Source organism: Homo sapiens, chromosome 1, assembly GCF_000001405.40.
Source record: "Homo sapiens chromosome 1, GRCh38.p14 Primary Assembly".
In the NCBI taxonomy this organism is placed as follows: Eukaryota; Metazoa; Chordata; class Mammalia; order Primates; family Hominidae; genus Homo; species Homo sapiens.
The window spans coordinates 175150519-175170753 of record NC_000001.11 but is presented as its reverse complement, the minus strand read 5'-3'; the positions used below and the strand labels follow the sequence as shown (position 1 = coordinate 175170753).

Genomic DNA, 20235 nt, shown 5'->3' with positions numbered 1-20235 from the left:
GCTGCAGTAACCCAGGTGAGAGACAGCAAAGGCCTGGCCATGGAAATGGTGGGAAGTGGATGGAGTCAGGACATAGTCAGAGAGAGAGCAGGTAGGACCAGCTGATGAGGTAGGGGTGGGGAGGTAAAGCCCAGGAGAGAAGCTTAGTCCGAGTGTTGAAGGAATTCATTTATTTGTCCCATATTTATTAGCACCTATTATGTGATAAACAGCTAGGGCGGTGGGGGTGGTGGAGGAAGGTGAGGCTGGGGTAATAGGAGAGTTGGATTACCAGCCAGTCCTCCTTGCTAAGGAGGTGTGATCATACAGGTGGTGAGCAGCCAAGCGAGGGTTGCGCAGGGAGTGCGCGTTACATTCAGATTTTAGAAAGACGAATTGAAAGAAGGAAAAACTAGAGGCCATTTGAAGGCCTGGACAAATGAGGTAACAATGGGGATAAAGGGGAAGGCACCTTTCTGTGCCTTTCCATACCCACAGGGCCCAAGTGCCCCTAGCTCAAGCCCTGCTTTACTTACGATGCTCACCACGGTCCAGCCACACTTGGCTGCCCTCTCTCATGGATGTGCCATGCGCTTTCCCACTTCAGAGCCCTCACCCTTAATGTTGCTGCTACCGGAGGTCCTGCCCTTAGCGCTGTGCACGCTTGGTCCTTAGCACCCCGAGATCTCAGTTCAGAGTCACCTTTTCAGAGGCCACTCCAATTATTTCCTTTATTGCACTAACATGTATACTTTCTACCTGGAGAAGAGAGATAATAAGTGCACAAACAAAATGTCTGTCTTATGCATGACTATACCCATGGTGCCAGGACCGGAACTGACACATCCTAGGAGCTCATTAAATACATTGAGGGAGGGAAAAAAGGGAAAGTAGGAAAAGACAAAAGGGCAGTTTGTCGTCGGGGTGAGGAAGGAAGGAGGCTTCTATGTCCTACTCCACACAATCTTGGGAGAGCCCTGCAGAGAGGGGAAGGAAGTGTATCTAAACCCTTATGATTCAGCTCCTGAGTGGTGCTTATCCATATTTTCATTCTGAAATGGTCGCTTTGAAAGAGAATGATGAATGAACTAATTTAGTCTACCACAGGAAAACTAGAGAAAAGAGAAAATGCCTTGTAAAGGAGACCTACATAATCAAAGTCATGACTCCAGAACCATCTCACATTTGAAAAAGACAAACAAAACCATCATTAGCTAAGGAGTCAAGGGCTGTTTACTTTGGCCAGCCTATTTGTTTGGGATCAAACAATCAGGACTAACTTTTATTGCTAGGCAAGGCTCTGAGGCACTCTACTTCTACTGACTCATTTCATTCTCACATCCTGTTATTATCCATGCCATTCTACAAATGAGAAAACAGAGCGCCAGAGAGAGAGGTTAACCTGCCCAATGTGATACAGCTAGTGAGTGGGAGAGCCAGAATTCAGACCCAGGATATCTGGTTCCCGAACCACTGCTCAAAAGCACTAAGGTAAACCCCTCTTTGGCCAAAGCTGCCCTATAGGAGAGTTGTTGAACACATTGCACATTTGTTATAAGCAAATCATTCTAGGGATTATATATGCAATGGTAATTAATAATCATTACCAACATTAGCTTTTTTGTCACTTGTATTAGGCAGGATAGGCTAACTGCTGTAGCAGAAAATCCCCAAATCTCAGTGGCTTCACCCAACAAAAGTTTATTCTAACTCATTTCATTTTTCACTGTGGTCAGCAGGGGTGCTCTGCTCCACACAGTCATTCAGGAACACCTCCCATCTCTGCCATCCCCAGGGCTCTTGGAGTCCTCCCCTGGATGCTCTGCATCTGGCCAGCCAATGAGCAAGCAGAGAGAGAACAGGGAGGGCCCGGGAGAAGATTTCAGGAGCCACGTTTCCTTGGCTGGAACTCAGTCACATAGCCCCACAGAGACGTAAGGGGCTGAGAAGTATGGTCTCACTCGTGCTCAGAAAGAGAATATGGTGGGCATCTTGCAAAGCACTGTGGAAGAGTTTGTGGAAGAGACCTGGCAGGAGGGTAACCTGGGCCTCAGAAGACATTGGTTCTGGCCCTGGCTCTATTAGTCACCAGCTGGGTGATCTCCCGCAAGATGCAGTCTCTTTGGTCCCAGATTTCCCATCAATAAAGTAAGGTAATCAACCAGATGGCCCATTTCAGGAGTCTTCTAATCCAGAATGTTTACATGATAAAGCATCATTTTATTAAATAACCATGGTGCCTTAATCATTTTTCTATTGATGCTCTATTTGTGCTTTTGTTCAAAATTGCAACCATAATTATAACATCAATTCTGGGGGAAAATACTATCTATTTTCCTTTAATACTGAATATCTAGTTATGCATCATATATACTCTGGGGGGAAAAGAGAGCTTCCGACTTTGTATTAGGACTAGTTATTTGAAGCAATTCATTAAATTGGGGAAAATGTAGATACCTATTTCAGAATGCCTAGAGCTGGGTCTAAGTAATAAATGTAATGTTCTACAAGCAGATCATTTACTGTGATCAGACCATTTTTGTACAAAACAGTACTTACCTCTATTAGAGGGCACCTGAGCATGCCAGGTTAGCAAGGTGAGAACCATCAAGAAAATATATATCCAGAATAGCCAAGTTAATAACTACTGACTGAGGTTCCACTCTGTGCCCTCGCTGCCAGAGAGCCTTGGTTTCTGAAGTGTGTGATATTATCGTAACCACAGGGATTTTGTAAGGCAGTGTGGTTTGAGAGCTGGGGCAAGGTTTGGACAGGCAGGGTGGAGAGGCCTGGGGTTGAATAAGGTGTTTTAACCCCCCAAGAGAGATGGTGAGGAGTCAGGTAGAGACTGATGATTTTCCTGTTTTGGAAAGGAAAAAAAAAAAGAATATACATATACATTCCAGACTGAGAGCCCTCATAGGAGACTAGGGTTAGAAGAAGGAAAGTTGGGCACACCCAGGGACACCTCCTCTCATGTCCCTCTGCCTGAGAGTTCTCCCACCCATATCTGCTGGAAAACACCTGAGCCACGCCATCATCCCGCCCTTTCCGACCACCATCACCCTTGGCCCAGCTGCCACTTTCTGGACAACTGTGATCATTTCCTCCCCCTACACCCTCTCCCATCTGTCCTCTCACACGTCAGAGAGAGTGTTCTTTATGAAATCCACATCAATTATGTCCCCTCCTTGCTTAAAACCCCGTGGCTCTCACAGCAAACTCTAGCCCTCCACGTGGCTTACAAGGTCCTGTGGTGTGGGGCTGCCATTCATGGGCCCTGCCATCCACCCTCACCCCACCACTGCTGCTGTCAGCTACCCTGTCCCTTCAGGTCCTTTTCAGGGACAGCAATGGGTCTAATTTGTTCATCTAATAAAAAGCACAATACAGGTATTGTTTGCCTATGTTTCCAGACTTTGGGGGGACACTTTACAGTGTATTAACAATTGAACTCATTCTTTAAATGTAGAGAACTTCACCTGAAAAGGTCTTGGAGGGTTGAAGAAAAGCCTATCAAGCATATTACTTGGAAATGCTTTAAAATAAGTTTATTTTGTGTTTCAAAACTTTTCAGACACCCTAGCCATGTGTTTGCTGTTTTTGTCATTCAGATCTTCTCTCAGTCATCCCTCATCAGAGCCTTCCTAACCTCCCTGTTTCCCCTTTCATAGCATCGTGGGGTCTTGTTCGTGGCACTCACCATAATTACACTTTCACACCTGCCTATATGGTTCTTTGATGAATGTTTGGTTTGGTTCCCACACTAGACTTGGAGCACAGAAAGGACAGGGATCTGGTTTGCTTGTCCTGGGTACAAAGTTCCCAGCAGGAGTAGGTTCTCTGTAATTAGTCACTGCACGATGCCTGCTCAGACACCAGTCATGATGGTCGTTTCTTTTCATTGCCTTCCCTCAACCTTCTCCAGGCAGGACCGCTGGCTGCTTCTGCCATGCTGCTCCCATGTCCCCCAACACAGAACTTGACCACAGAACTCATCACACTATACTTCTATTTTTATTTCTCCCCCTTGCTAGACTGGGCGGTGATCAGGATCTGAATGCACAGGGCGGGTGTTCAGCGATTGTTTACTACGTTGAACGTGACCTCCAGGAAAGCAGTTCTGGCCGAGATCCCCTGACAACGCAAAGCAAGAAGTAACGTGGAAGGAGGCTCCCCAAGCTGGCTGGCCATTTTGCTGCTGTGTGTGGAGGTAAACTTCATCCCCCGTCTCCTCACCCATGATTCTTCCCCTCATTTAGCACATGGCTCCTGTGCTCATAAATGAAGGTCGGCTGCTCAGCTTGCTTATTCAATTATTCCCAAACCTGACAATTGTCCAGAAACACTCTGGCTGCTTGCTACAAACATAAATTCCTGGGCCCATCCTAGACCCGACTGAATCAGAGTCTCCAGGAGCAGGCTGCAGGAATCTGTATTTTTAACTCCTTAAATGACTCTTCGTAGCCAACAGTCCATCCTGCTGTCACCTGGGATCCTGGGCAGAGGAGCTAAAGCAAGCACAGTGATCAGCGCACCCAAGGTAGAAAGCTCAATGGAGCTGTTTGAGCAAAGGCCCAAGGGGAGGTCTTTGCTCCCAACTGTCAGTTATAAAATGGCCCCCCACACAAATCCAGGAGTCAGCAGTCGCAGAAGAGGGGTCTCTTAAGGTTCTCATAGAGAACTGAACCTCCCACCTCCCCCTACAAGAAGGGTGGTGATTTGTACCATTTGGAGGTCACTCTGGAGTTGGTCTCAGGGATTCTAATTGGGTGCCATTGTGATCCTTATTATTAACCTTTCCAGAAAGTATTTACTGTCTCACAGACACTGTTCTAGAGCTTTACATTTATTATTTTGTCTAAAAAACAAGAACAATGAGAGGCTGATGCAGAATAGAACGCCCTGCTCCCTTCTTGGAGAGCACCGGAAGGAACAGCAGTGTCAGGGCCAGCCCTGGACACAGCCTGCAGTAGCTTTTGGCTCTCAGAGATTGAAGCAGACCTCCCTGTGGAATGACCCACCCCTGTAACACTTCCAAGGGTCCCAAAGCCTGGGAGGGAGGCTGGGGCCTGTAGATGGCTAGCTGCTCTCCTCCACCTCACCTATGAACTCAGCAATCCTCCAGGCACCTTCAGATGTTCCCCAAGCGACCGCTCTCCATCTGATTTCTGGATGCCAGAGTCTAGAGCAACAGCCACAGACCTACAGACCAACCATATTAGGGAGATTATTTCTGAAGACCTTTTCATTTCAATGCGGTGGGGACCCATGGTTCTTTGGCAATAGGGATTGGCTTGGAGGTGAGGAAGGAGGAAGAAAAGCCCAGCACTGGAATTAGTCCATTGTTATTTCAAGATAACTCACTATTTTATGGATTATATTTGTGTAAGTATTTTACAGTTACAGAATGCATTAAATATATTGAATCATTTTGATCCCCACAATGTCATTATGAGGGAAGATCATTAGCTTCATTTTGTAGCTGAGGTCTGGTTAACTTGCCAAGGTCATGCAGGTTGACCCAAGGCTCAAAACCAGGCCTTCTGGCTCTGGGATCACTGTTTCCCATCGTCACCTCATACATGGGTGGATAGAAGTTTGCGACAGAAAGAGTGAATGAATGATTCTGTCTCCCTAGCTAGATACTACAGAGGATATGGAGGTAAATAATATTTGGTTTCAAAAAAATTGAAAGAAAGTTTTCCCCTCTTCTCTGTCCTCTCGTCCACCCCCACAGCCACAATCAGACAGATGAGGTTGGTTGGCACCTATTGTTGGTCTTACAAAAATAGATGAATTACTTTTCAAGCATTGTCAGTGCTATTCAAAAGCTAACAAAAGGCTAGAGTGTACTTCCAGGGGCCGAAGTGTGTCTTCTTTTGCATTCCATGGAAGTTCTCACTTTTAATTCATGCCACTAAGGAGATATTTGATTGTTTTCTGGAAATGCTAATAATGCAAGACTCATAAATACTAATGAAACACTATAGATTAGCAGAGCTCAGCAAGTAACCTGGGGGGTGCCTAGAAAAGAATTCTTAGATTAAAAAATATAAAGAATACCTTTTAATCGAATTTTCCCCAGACTGGCTTCCCAAATGTTAATGAATACTCTTTGGCTGTATGGGGAGCAGCCTCAAATAAGTCCCTTTAGGAATCCAGAAGAGAATTATTGACTTAGCTTTAGCTTGAAAAGAAATCTATTTATTCAAAGGCCATTTTAGGTGCCAAGGGATGGATGAGTTTAAGACAAAGGTTGGGAGGGGTGGGAGGGCCCTAGATGTTGAGATAAACATATAATTCAAATGCATGCTTCTACTTCAGCCAACTAAGCAATCTAGTTTGGAATTTGCTTATTGTACTTGGCTTTTATGACTTGATCTATCAATAGTAATAACTCCCCTGGAATGGACGAGGCTTCCCGATGTCAGAAACCATATCTTTGTCATTCACTATTGAATTCTCAACACCCAACAGTGCATGAAACATATTAGGTGCTCAGTGAATGTTTGATAAACGGATAAGGAGATTTAAAGAACTTTCTTAACACATTTTCCAGAGTTCTTCAGATCTTGTTATCTTTTCCTGAAAGGCAGCTCTGATCACAACATTCTCCTGTTGTAAAGCCTCCAAATAAACGCAAACCCTATGACGGCCCCTCTACCATGGCCATGCCTACCTCCTAGTGTCCCTTCTCATCCTCTCTTCTCCCACCCTGAGCTCCAGGCTCACCAGAAGACCCCCTGTTCTCCTGCTCATGTTCTAGAAGTTTCTCTGCCTGGAATGTTTGAACATCCTTTTCACCTATATTTCTCTGTCAAAATACTACGCATCTTCAAGGTCGTCCCCCAGGTGGCTCCACCTTCATGAAAACTGACCTGATCTCCATGAGCTCGCCCTCCTTCCTTGCTGGCTGAACCCAGAGGGGCCCCTGTTACCCATCTGCTCCCTGTAGGAACAGCATAACCCCTGGCACAAAATAGTTGGTGAACATTTGTGGTGGTGGTGTTATCTAACGTGAATCAGGAAAGCTGTGAGTAGAATCAAATTAAAGAAAAGCACCCAAAGCCTTTCCACAACAGAGCAGAAAGATCCCAACAGACAGGGGCACAGACCCACTCAAGACTGAGGTAAAAGCAAAGGTCATTGCAGAGGGAGAAGGAAAATCCAGAAGAGAGATGAGTGGCCTGAGATACAGCATCACCGGGGCTTAGAAGCATGCCAAAGGCTGCTTTTCTCTACAGAGAGCCTGGCAGCTTGATGGTGTGTGGGCAGATCCATGGCATGGGCTGTTCCCAGGCCTCAGAGGGGCTTGAGCAGAGCCTTGGATGAGAGGACATGACTCCTCAGGATACTTTTCTTTGTTGCATGTTGAGTTTAAGTTCAGGCAGCCATATGCTTTCTATAAACCTGCACTTGGGCAGAACTTTGTTTTTATTTTATGTATCTTCATGCATTTGGGAAGGATCTAACAATGAGAAATAAATCTCTTTGCAGTCTTTCCTACAATAGACTGGGATAAGCATTTAAGTTAATCTGGGGAATAGCCAAATATTGTAAGATTCTGTAAATCCTGGGCTGCTTGCCAAAAATGGGTTAATTCCACACAAAGGAATAGGAGGCCACAGAGCAACGCCTGTGAACAGATCACTCCTTGCGGATCTGGAGCCAAACTCTCCAGAATGAGTGAGACCGGCTCTGGCACTCACTCACCGTGTGGCCTGAGCCTCCATCTCTTCAGCTGCAGGATGGGGGAACCACAGTACCTACTTCATAAGGGTGTCATGAAGATGAATGAGTTAATAGAGTGCCTAGAAAAGTGCCTGGTATATAATTACTGCTTACTAAAAGTTGGCTACAATTATTATTGTCATCCTATAACATTTCTTTGGGCTCCATGGACCAAAAGGCTCAGTAGTAGGTGCCAATTTGTACGCTTGCAAAATCTATGTAAATAATGCCATGAGAGGGTGGGATTACATGCCAGCAGACTAGGACTGAGGACAGCTGGGGCTTAGATAGGCACATGGGCACTGGGATCATGAGACATTGATAGAGCATGCTATCCAAGGAATTAGACTTCTGAGGACAATTGCTGGGGCATCATGTAGAAAACATCACCCAGGAGGGCTGCACATGTATGCAATGAAGCCTGAGCTGATCTTGAATTCCAGGCCCAGGTCCCCAGTGTTCCCATCCGTAGACACAGCTCACTCAAAAGATTAAATGCAGATGAAAATGATTAGAAAAGTATGAAGTGAAATGCAAGTATAAAGTGACATCATTGTCATCCTTAGTTCCTCTGCTTGCCTGGCAGCCTGCGGAGAGTGCTGAACCCATTGTCCAGAGGTCTGGGTGGGTCTGGGTGGGCCTGTGTGGCCTGGGTGGGTCTCTATGGCCTCAGACATGTCACCTCACTGCTCTGGACCCCAGATTCTTTATCCTTAAGTGAGAGAGTTCATTGGGATGATCTCTGGAGTGTCCATCCTGAAAATCAACCACTCCTTAATATTTGGGTCCTGGAGAATGTCTTACACCAACAGGCCTCTTAAATTTCCTTGAATCATGCCTGTCCTTGAAGTCTTGTTTGTACACAAGAACCTGTAATTCCAGAATGGAAGGCAGCCTCTAAGACCTTATACTTGAGAGCTGAGCTTTAAGATATATGTGGAGGGGTGACCAGGGAAGAGGGGCAGCTCTGTACAAGCAACCAGGAGAATGGCCCCAGCTGTATGCTGAGTTCAGAACAGGAACAGGGAGGCACCCAGGAACCTCACTCTGGTTTCCAAGCACCATCACTAAGCAGCCTGCAAGGACTCCTCTCCCATAGAGAAGAAAGAGAGCAGGAGACTTTGGAGTATTTGGTCAAGGAATAGAAAACATAGAGAAGGGTAATGAGGAAGAGGAAGGTAGAAGGTAGAAAGTGGAAAGCCAGCAAATGGTCACCCCTGGTTCTCTCAGCCTTGGGAGGAGAGGACTTCTCAGGCACAGGAATGTGATATAAGGAGGGGAGGAGACATGGAGCAGGGAAGAGATCATGAGGGGACAGCACGGAAAGCAGGCATGGGGCAGGATGAGGACTGATGACCTCTTAGCCCAGAGGAGACCCAGGTTCCCTACTACAGACAGCAAGAAGTAGACATCTCACTTTGTGCTTAAGCTTCAATAAGCTTTGAAAATGGCAAGTTATGTTAATAAAAGGTTACATACAGACCTGTCCTGTGGGGAGTGTGTGTTCAACATCTGTCAGGTGAGCTACAGTGGAAAAAAGATTGAGAACTGCTGTTGCAGAAGGGTCCAGGGAAGCAACCCCTTATCAGAACACTGAACACACACATTGATTCATTTATCCAACAACTACTGAGAACTTCCTACGTGCCAGACCTGATATACTATTCATTTTTATATCCTAAGCCCAATATAATGTGTGTACATAGCAAGAATTAGTTGATGCTTATTGATTACATGCATGCATTTATCTTGTTTATTGAGTCAATACAAGTTTACTGAACCCTGGAAATCTTCAATTCCTTCCCCTTTCCTAAGCCTAAAATCTATGACACTATTAAAATTGTAGACCAGTCCCCCTGCATTTCTCTTCAGTTGTCTGTTTTAATCTCTTCAGGTGCTGCCAGTGGCATGCCCAAACCCAAAGCTGGAAGAGGAATAAATTACAAGTGGTCAAGGTTGCATCCTTTTGAGCCCAGGACCTGCTTGTAAGCCGAGAGGGTTCTCTGGCCCTAATCTAGCCAAGCACCATGGAGAGAATCAGTGCCTTCTTCAGCTCTATCTGGGACACCATCTTGACCAAACACCAAGAAGGCATCTACAACACCATCTGCCTGGGAGTCCTCCTGGGCCTGCCACTCTTGGTGATCATCACACTCCTCTTCATCTGTTGCCATTGCTGCTGGAGCCCACCAGGCAAGAGGGGCCAGCAGCCAGAGAAGAACAAGAAGAAGAAGAAGAAGAAGAAGAAGAAGGATGAAGAAGACCTCTGGATCTCTGCTCAACCCAAGCTTCTCCAGATGGAGAAGAGACCATCACTGCCTGTTTAGTTAGGCAGGAAGCAGAGGTGTTTCCTTTCTGGGGCTAAGCCTCCTTCTGACCACACACAGACATTTCAGGAACCCCTGAAATAATGCACTATGTCCATGTCCACAGAGTAACTACTCAACCAAGGAACAAACCTCAGACTAAGTGTCCCAGTGGAGGGCAGTCCCAGGGACCACGTGGACAATTCTTGGATACTGTCTTGGCAGCTATGTGTCCAATAGCAATGCTCCTTACTGCAGACCCAGGCATGCCTCCCACCTGTCTCTGGCATACCCCACATGCAAAGCACAAAGAACATTTATCCATACATCTCAATATGGTTCCCAAGTGTGTGCACATGCACGTAACACACACACACACAAATTCAGGTAGCAGGTACGTGGGCAAGTATATTCTGCTCATCAAATGGTCATTGGCTATGTACTTTGTGCAGGGAAGTACATTATCTACAGTCACAAAAATGTCTCATGGGAAAGCCTTGCCAGATTCAGACACATATATACAATTTCCTAACCAGCAAGGCCCCCATACACCATCTATTCCATAAACCACTCAGGTTACAGATGCATGCTTTCCTATTTCTAACTCTACACATAAACTTTTACTGGAAGTACTCATAATTGGACATTCCAGCAACCTGCTACAGTCCCCACCCTTGTGTGTCTTGATACAGACACACCAAGTTTCTGTGCCTCTGACCCCTCACCTGTGCCAAGATGTTTAAAGTGTGATGGTTCAAAATTCATTGAAAGCTCTTTTCTTGTAACTCATGACAAAGTCCGTCCTCATTGCCACTGAGAGGTGTTTAATGTGATCCAAGACCTCTCTGTGAAACATTACCCCCGCAAACCACTCAGCAAAGTGCCTTTCTCCAAGCAAGAACAAAGAGCTCTTGGTGGTGACTGCTAGAAAATTATGGAAGCCCACTCATTTATGTCAGTGGACTGCAACTGTGTACCTGTGCAATGTTTACAGATGGAAAGGGTGAGGAGATGCTACACCTGAGCTAGGTATCTCCTATATAACCAAAGTTTCCAGCAGGGAAGGAACTAGACAATCATCAGTGCAGTCTCACAGAAGGCAACACTGGAAGTGATGTCATAAGGTTGTGATGTGTGCACGGTATGGCACAGGTGGGATGCAGAGGTAACAGAGTTTAAATGAAAGTAGGATGAAGCTATAAAGAGGTTTATTTATATTTATATTGAAGCTCAGGCAAGTGCCTTGCACACAGTAGGTACTTATAACTAACTGTGGTTACTGTTGGATATGTGATGTTGTTAAGGGTAAGCTTGTAATACCTCACCAGTTCTCCCCGAGTGATCTTCTCTTCTAAGTGAGCCCACTAATTGCTGCAATGGATGAAATTGGGTGTTTAATGCTGGAGAGCACATGTAGGTGACACATGTGCCTTGAGGTATGTGAGGACATGTAAATTAGATCCACAGTGAGCTGAGGAGGGCTTTCCCCGCCAGAGTGAGGTTGGGAAGCAGAGTTAATCCACTTATAGGATGAACTGCTTGGTATTTTTATTGTATTGTGACTGTATTACAAAGATGGACAATTCACTCCTTGGGAGCAAGTTATGCTCTAGAAGTTTATTTACAAATATGCTGGGCAGCTCTCTTGAAATATTTTCCCAAGGAAGCTATTCTACACAGTGGCAAAATTGCTATCTAATTAATAATGTAGCTAAACTATGATATTTATAGTAGCAAAAAACTAAATTCTATAAGATTGCATTAAAGGAAAGATATATTCTATTTGCTCACTTGGGCTGCTTGGTACTCACCTGCCCTCCAGGTGTACTTTAGGCCTGTGGAGGGTGGGCATTTAGTGGTGACCCTTGCACCAGGGTTTTCTAACAGATGACCCTGTGAATCATAATTTAAACCTGCATATATTTTATAGCCAGTCACATTTGCCCTCTCACCCTATATGGCCATAAACTGCCTAAGCACTCAGGCCTCCCACTCATCAACCCCTTTGACCAGAGAAAGAAGCACTCTGGTTCTCTATCCCCTTGTCACATAGAGAGTTTGTCATGGGGCCTCTGGCTGTGCCCTTCACATAACAGAATGACTTGCCATCTGCCTGCACCAAACCCAGGGATGTGGAAGACATCTCCCCACAACTGCCACTGCTCACCAGGACAAGCTGCCCTTCCTGTCTCCACCTCTCAGTCCCCCTAGAATGGATGGCTGGGGAGAGGTGGAGGCTGACAGCTGAGACGTAGTGTCAGATATGATCTAGGAGGGCGGATCACCGGGATCCGGGACCATACAAGTAACATGGTTTCCATGGCAACTGCTTGCTCCTTTGAATTAAGACAGCAGTCAGTTGTCATTGCCATGACAAGGCCTCTATCTCCAGGCACAATGTCCCTGCTGTCTCCTAATCCAATGGACTTGCTCTCACCCCAGGGATGAAACACCCAGAAACTCACTTCTCAGTCACTTCCACAGCCGATGACTCAGAAGAGCCAAACCCAGAATGGGGCCTCTCTTTTCCCCATCACAGACTCCCCTGACAACCTTTCCTGGCGTAACTAGAGGAGTCCCAGTGCAGGATAGGCCCTAAACGTTTTGTTAAATAAACAGGTGCATGAAAGGAGCCTAAGGCCATTGTTGATATCCACTCTCTTCTTTCCACTTCCTTCTCATCTTTTTCTCCATGTTTTATGCTTCTCTGATTCCCTCTTCTGCCTGCACCAGACCAGCCCCAGCCCTTTATTCCTCTCCATTTTCACTCCTTCCAGCCTCTGTCCCTGAACTGCCACTGGCAACCCATGGGACCTCAGGACCAGAGACTGCTTGACTCATCTGGGGAGGGTAAGTTCACGGGGGACAAAAAAATGATTCCTAAAGAAGAGGCTTCCTAGACCAGCACAGGCTCGAGAAAGACATCCCCTAGGCCTGGACTTCTGAGCAGCTTTAGCCAGGCTCCGGACGGCAGCCAGAGGAGGCCTTTCCCCATTGCTCCTTTCCCCATTGCTCAATGGATTCCATGTTTCTTTTTCTTGGGGGGAGCAGGGAGGGAGAAAGGTAGAAAAATGGCAGCCACCTTTCCAAGAAAAATATAAAGGGTCCAAGCTGTATAGTATTTGTCAGTATTTTTTTCTGTAAAATTCAAACACACACAAAAGAAAAATTTATTTAAATAAAATACTTTGAAAATGAAAAGTCTTGATGTAGTCAGATGGTTACTCTCTTAACATTAGGTATTACCCCCACTCAGACATCACTCAGAAATGATCAATGCAGGGACTCTTTCTGTGACACAAATGTCCCAGCCCTCCCTGGTCACCGCCTTCGCCATGGTAGAGTCATAGGTCTGAGGATGAGGAATGTGGCTGTCTCACCCTTGCTTGCAAAACAGATGGCCTTGGAGACCAGACTCCCTCAAAGGTGCCAGCTACAGGAAAAATATACTGATGTTCCTTGGCAACACTTACAGAACTTTCCATCAATGAGGTCCATCAATGGCTTCTTAAAGGAAAAGGGGGGAAATAGCAAAAACCTAAGGAAGAATGGACCTTTGAGTTAAATCCAGTGTTTGTTGGGAAAGGAGGGATCAAAAACCTCTATAGTAGCCACTAGGGCAAAAACTGTGTGTATGTGTGTGTGTAAGTGTGTGTACACTGTTCAATATGGTTCAATATGGTACCAATAGCCACATGTGACTATTTAAATTCATTGCAATGAAATAAAATTAAAGGTATACTAGCTCAGCTATGTCTGCCATATTTCTTTTTTCTTTTTTTTTTTTTTTTTTTTTTGAGATGGAGTCTTGCTCTGTCATCCAGGCTGGAATACAGTGGTATGATCTTGGCTCACTGCAACTTACACCTCCCGAGTTCAAGTAATTCTCATGCTTCAGCCACCTGAGTAGCTGGGATGACAGGCATGTGCCACCATGCCCAGCTAATTTTTTTTATATTTTAGTAAAGATGGGGTTTCACCATACTGGCCAGGCTGGTCTTGAACTCCTGGCCTCAAGTGACCCGCCAGCTTCCCAAAGTGCTGGGATTATAGGCATGGGCAACTGCGCTTGGCCATGCCAGCCACGATTCAAGTGCTCAGTAGCTACACGTGGCTAGCGGCTGCCATCCTGGACAGCATAGGTCTATGATCTTGGGGGCAGGGTCAGACACCTGGGAAAAACAGCCATGCTGACTGGATTTCAAGGAGGGCTTAAGAAGGAAGGCCTAGAGCACAGGTGGACTCTTTGCCTTATCTCGCCCAAGGCAGGTTATGTCTGTAGTTCAGATGAGTTCATTCCTGGGCTCCCTTCCCCATCACCACACACTCATGACAACCAGAGAACAGAGACTCTTCATTCAGCTCCTTGTTCATCCACCCAGGACATTGCTAAACATTCTGGTGCAGAGGAGGAACTGATGCTCAGAAACCATCTGGGAGGGGAGCAGCTGCTGCACCCCTGAGGGGATGCCAGTGCTCAATGCCTGCAGCCGCACCTGCCCCGGCTCCATCCTGGCCTTGGGGTATAATATGGATTTGGACAATGAATGCCATCACGTCCTTAGCATTCTCAGTTTATCACAGCACTCTGCACTGGCCCCTTGCCCGTTGACCTTAGTAGTATTTCCCAATTCAAAGTCACAGGTTTACTGGACTGGAAAAAAATCCCTTCAACCCGCTTTCTGTCTTAGACTCAAAGGGTTGTTTTCAAACACCTGTGTGGGCAATGTCACACTATATTTCTTCAGGAATGGCTGTGACTGTGTACCTCCAGCCCTCTTTTGAGGCTGTTCATCCCATTAACATTTCTGACTGTTTACTATATGCCAAGCACGCTAGGTGCCAGTGATACTAAGTTGTCCTAGAGGGGCTCAGAACCTGGTAGGGGGGCACAGACAAGCAAACCATGACAAGACAGTGTGGCCATTGCTTCCTTAGAGGGAAGCTCCCAGGCTGGCTTCAGGACAGGCCGGGGGAGATCGCCTAGGAGGTGTCTAGAGACTTGCACAGGAAGAAACTGAGAAAGGAGGGCCCCAGCTGCACAGTCTACAAAGGCAAGTGCACCCTGGAGTAGTGATGCAGGCAGACAGGATGATGGGGACGATTCAGAAACCATCAGGGCTCTCTGGAAGCCATAAGTGCAGTGAGCTAGGACTCATGACTAGGGTTGTCCCAACCCTGATGCTAACTCCGACTCTCACTAGTTATGTAATTTGGACCCATGGCTTAATCTCTCTGTAAGACTTACCTGCTAAATAAAGCTAATGAGAGTAGCTACCTCATAGGGAGCATTAAATGATCGTGTGTACAAAGCATTTAGCACAGGACGTGGCTTATATTAAGTGCCCAATAAATGTTACTTATTATTATTAAGGGTTGAAGGAAAACCGTGAGAGAGCTGTGTCCTAGGAACCAAAGGAAAAGAAATTTCCAAGAAGAAAGTGATGGTCCATAGAGTCAAATGATGCAGGCAAATCGAATGAGATAGGGATTGAAAATAATTAGCATTTTCTATTCCCCATGGTGTGATGTGTTCCCTAATTTCACCACATACTGCACTATCTACAGGATTACCAATACTCCATGGATTAAGGTCTGCAGATTTGCAGATTAGGCAAGGCTGCCTAATTATCTGTCCCGCCTCTGCCCACAACGAAGTCGCCCCAGCTTGTCAGTGCCACCTGGTGGCCAGATCAGGAGAAAGCGTGAGTCAACATCTTTTTCACCTTAGAAGTGTTTCCTGGAGAACATCCATCTAGCTAGTTCACCTGTTCTCAAATTAAATGTGCAAAAGAGTCACCGGGTTTTATGTGAAATTCACAAATCTGTCAGGGTCCGGAATGCCGTGCTCATGTGACATATGGGGGATTTCCATAAATCATAGGTCTCAACTGTTGTTACAAACATATTTTGGTGAAGTGTTCTATATATAGCCTCACTACAGTAAAGCTTCCCTAACCACACAAGTCTTGCCCATTGCAGTAAGACTAGACCACATTGCAATTGTGTGTTGCTTCTATTCCCAGCACCCCACCCCTATTTTGACCCCCATTAGAATTAGCTTTATGAGATTAGAATTAGAACTGTCTTATTCACTAGTATATCTTCAACACCTAGCATGGAGCCTGGCACATACTATATGCTAAATAAATGTGTTGATTGGGGGAAATAAACACTGAGGTGTTTCTTAAAAATGCAAATTCCCTGTCTCTCCCTGCCCTTCTGGCTGATTATTAAGTCTAGGGTGATGCCAGACAACCTGCTCTAATAAACACCAGGTCAATGCAGGTGGTCCCTGAACCACACCTTGAGAAATACTATCAAAACAACAAAAGAACTGTGTACGGTCAAATAAGTTTGCAAACACTGCATAGTATAACTTTCCCACTTCACCCCCTTGGGATCTGCAACGCATTTATCACATTAAAGTTTCTAGCAGGTGCTGTAATAAAGAATTTGGTTTAACTCCCCTTAAAATTTTCCCAAATTTATTTAACCACAAGCCTCTTTTTCTTTTAGCACATCTGGAGGAACAAAGATTCAGGGGCCACCATTTGGGAAATGCTGCCATGGAGGGCTAGTACGCACTCCACACATCCTTTGCTCCTGACTTCCATGGAGGGCTGGTGCGCACTCCACGCATCCTCTGCTCCCGTCTTCCATGAAGGGCTAGTGCGCACTCCGGCGTCCTCTGCGCCTGTCTTCCATGGAGGGCTAGTGCGCACTGCGGCGTCCTCTGCTCCCGACTTCCAAGGAGGGCTAGTGCGCACTCCACGCGTCCTCTGCTCCCATCTTCTATGGAGGGCTAGTGCACACTCCTGGCATTCTCTCCTCCCATCTACCATGGAGGGCTAGTACACACTCCAGGCATTCTCTGCTCCTGTCTACCACGGAGGACTGGTGCGCACTCCACCGTCCTCTGCTCCCGTCTTCCATGGAGGGCTAGTGCGCACTTCGACGTCCTCTGCTCCTGTCTTCTATGGAGGGCTAGTGCGCCCTCCAGGCATTCTCTGCTCCTGACTTCCATGGACTGCTAGTGCGCACTCCGATGTCCTCTGCTCCCGTCTTCCACGGAGGGCTAGTGCGCACTCCGGCGTCCTCTGCTCCTGTCTTCTATGGAAGGATAGTGCGCATTCCAGGCATTCTCTGCTCCTGACTTCCATGGAGGACTAGTGCACGCTCCACGCGTCCCCTGCTCCCGTCTTCCATAGAGAGCTAGTGCGCACTCCACGCTTCCTCTGCTCCTGACTTCCACTACAGACTCAGTCAATGTCATCTCCAGAGGAAACTGTTTCTGCAGTGTATACAGATTCTCACTAACCTTTATGAACCTTTCTCTTTTACTCTTCCCTTTCTCTTTTACTCTTCCCTTTCTCTTTCTTCCATTTGCAACCCATAATAATCCTGTTGGTGGCTATTCATAGCAAATATGTTTTAGAGCTGCTAAAGAGACATCTCTATCAAAAGAAAAAAAAGAAAAAAAGAAAAAGTTTTAAATGAAAATATGAAGACTGAAGATCCAAGCCCACTATTTTACCATTCCAGAGTGCCTTCGTACATAAAAACCACTTTCATTATTTCACTTGATTCTCACTTTATAAATGAAGAAAATGAGGCCCAGAGAAGGTAAGCCAGTTTACCCAAAACTGGAATAGAAACCCAAGTCTTCAGACTCCTACCCCAGTGTTCCTTCTGCACACCAGGCATCGAGATCCAGGCCAATCTGATCTTGGCTCCTCAAAGACTGTTGAACTTGTAGACGCCCCTCCCTTGAGTTGGAAACTTACAGAACACAATCAAGGGTCTTCCCATAAGCCTTTAAAGTGCCCAAATGCCTCCTTTATATGTCCCACAGCAAGCCTCATCTGCCTCCTTCTCCTTCTCTAATTCAACCTAATTTTCTTCACTTACCAAAATAAAGAACTGTTTCCATTCCATTTTGTTTCTTTCTTTTATTTAAATTACAGTACCGCAATACTGTTGTTTCCTATTTTTCATTATACATACACTGCAACTCATCTATATTGTAGAGTAAACAGAGTTTTATGGGCTAACCTGAGAACCTACCTTCTTTATATAACATTATAATTGGAACTCAAATAATTTCACCCACAGAAACAGCCAACTGACAGAAGGAATTGGAGAAGTGAATTCATTTGCAAATTAGGAGCTGCCTGAAATCTCTCCCAGGGGTGCCCCCCTTCACCTTTCATCAGGCTGACAACCTCTATCCGCCTTTCCTCCCCAGCAGCCCAGTGCGCCGGGTCTGGGGATAGAGTCCAATCTCACCAAGCAATCTCCTCAAGGTTGTTCCCAGTTATTTTTTGCGCATTTGTCCAGCAAGAACGCTGCCTAAGAAACCACCAAGTGCAGGCCCAATGTTAAGCTGGGCCTCACCGACTGACTCTCCAGATAGCATCACCCAGGAAAAGAGAAAAGTGGGGACCTAGCCCCCAGAACTCCCCTTTATAGAAGAGAGAAGTGGCGCTGAAATGAGAGGCTCCCGACAGGACAACACTGCCATCTCCTGGCCAGGCTGAATATAGCAAACCTCTTGCACTAAGCTGCGGTCCCAACCGTATTGATCAGCTCCGTATTGACATGAACTCCCTCCTGATCCCCTCCACCACCCTAGCGAAGCGCTTGAGGTAATGACTTGGAATTTCTTTTTTTTTTTTTTTTTTTTTGAGACGGAGCTTCGCTCTTGTTGCCCAGGCTGGAGTGCAATGGCTCAATCTCGGCTCACTGCAACCTCTGCCTCCTGGGTTCAAGCATTCTCCTGCCTCAGCCTCCGGCGTAGCTGGGATTAGTGGAGGGCCTTTTCCATCAACTGGCTAAATTTCACCAAGAGTTTCTCGCTGTTATACTTGTTTTTCCTTCTGCCATGCCATCCCTTCATCTGCATGTCCCCTGTCCACATCTCCTCACACACCACACCTGGCCTTTTTCCTTCCTCAATCACAATTTCTGGAGGCATTTTCTATCTTTCTCCTCAGCTCCTTCAGCATTTCCTGGCTTTAATCATCTTTAAATCCCTGAGAATTCAAATTTTAAACGCAGAGCTTTTGATCTCATTTGACAAACATAAACTCTGGGACCCTATTCCCAGAGGAAGCCACTGTCAGGAACAACCAGCTCTAAGCTCTGACATGAAACGACCCATCTCTTGCCTGTACCACCCATCCTCCTCAAAGCCCACCATTCCTTCTTCCTGGATATCTCACTAATCTAGACCCTCCTCCCCTTCTCCACCATTTCTGCCACAGGCCAAGGAAGTTATGACCGCTTGCCTGAACTATCACAATAGCACTCAACTTGCCTGTGAGTCCCTATCCTTCCTCCAAAACTTCCCTCAACACCCCCAGCCCTGTTGTCTATCCTATCACCAGACTGATATTTCCGAAATATACATCTGACCTTGTCACTCTCAGGTTTAAAAACCTGTGTGTTCCCCACTTTCCACATGCTTTCATCTGAGCAGTGGCTCTCAAGCGTGGTCTATGTTGGAATCCTTGGGGGCACTTTAGGAAGCTCAGGTGCACAGAACTCACCTGATACCCACTGGAGCAGAGCCCGTTGAGGGGAGTGGAGCTTCTGTACCCATGGAGGCCCCCTGCCGCCGCCGACAGGTAGTGAGCGCTGAGAACCTCAGTACTGGCCTGGCAAAGGAAGAATCCCCACTCATCTCACCAGCCTGGCTCCCCACCAAGCTCTCCTCACCCCAGTAAGAAACCACTTTGCCCCCCTCAGACATGCCACACTCCACACTTTCTCTTCCTTGCTGCCAAGTCTCCTGTACCCGATGGGCCCCACCCCTCTTGGGCCTCTTTTTTCTCCCCCCAGAACTCATCCTTCCAGACTTAAAGCCGACATCACATCCCCGTGAAGCTCTCTCCCTTGGCACCCCTGGCAGGATGAGTCACCCTGACTCTGCCCACAGTGTTCAGTCCACCTCCCTGTGGACTCACTCTCCCCAGTTTGTTTCCATGGCTGCCTCTGCCACCACTCCAAGAGCTGCTGGAAGGCCACATTTGTGTTCTGTTTATCACTGTCTTGCTCATGTCCTGCATAAAAGGCAACACTTTGGAAACTTTACCAAGACTTCTGTCTTTGCATCTACCCTAGTGCCTGGCTTGCAGCCTGTGCCTTCTATGAGAGCTTTTGTTTGCTTTAGTTTGTTCTAAAGGGTAGAAATCGTCCCTGTAAGCTTCAAAAC

General features: G+C 46.4%; 1 protein-coding gene across 9 annotated transcripts in view, besides 2 other annotated features; it reads left to right on the top strand.

Moving 5' to 3' along the window:
- KIAA0040 overlaps window positions 1–13768 on the top strand; it is a 36002-nt gene extending 22234 nt beyond the window's left edge. For all 9 annotated transcript variants that reach the window (NM_001319230.2, NM_001162894.2, XM_047435111.1 and 6 more), the window contains 2 exons: window positions 4017–4192; window positions 9608–13768. In NM_001319230.2, coding sequence (NP_001306159.1) covers window positions 9741–10040 — 300 coding nt within the window. In that variant the 5' untranslated portion in view covers window positions 4017–4192; window positions 9608–9740 and the 3' untranslated portion in view covers window positions 10041–13768. The remainder of the gene's footprint in view (window positions 1–4016; window positions 4193–9607) is intronic.
- Window positions 16308–16807: an enhancer, noted in NCBI's record as "H3K27ac hESC enhancer chr1:175123083-175123582 (GRCh37/hg19 assembly coordinates)". NCBI's record gives its function as "activates a minimal SCP1, AML or CMV promoter by ChIP-STARR-seq in naive H9 embryonic stem cells {active_cell/tissue: H9 hESC(naive)}" and the evidence as "EXISTENCE:reporter gene assay evidence [ECO:0000049][PMID:30033119]".
- Window positions 18407–18701: a silencer, noted in NCBI's record as "tiled region #15603; K562 Repressive DNase unmatched - State 12:CtcfO". NCBI's record gives its function as "represses a minimal TATA promoter and a strong SV40 promoter by Sharpr-MPRA in K562 cells {active_cell/tissue: K562}" and the evidence as "EXISTENCE:reporter gene assay evidence [ECO:0000049][PMID:27701403]".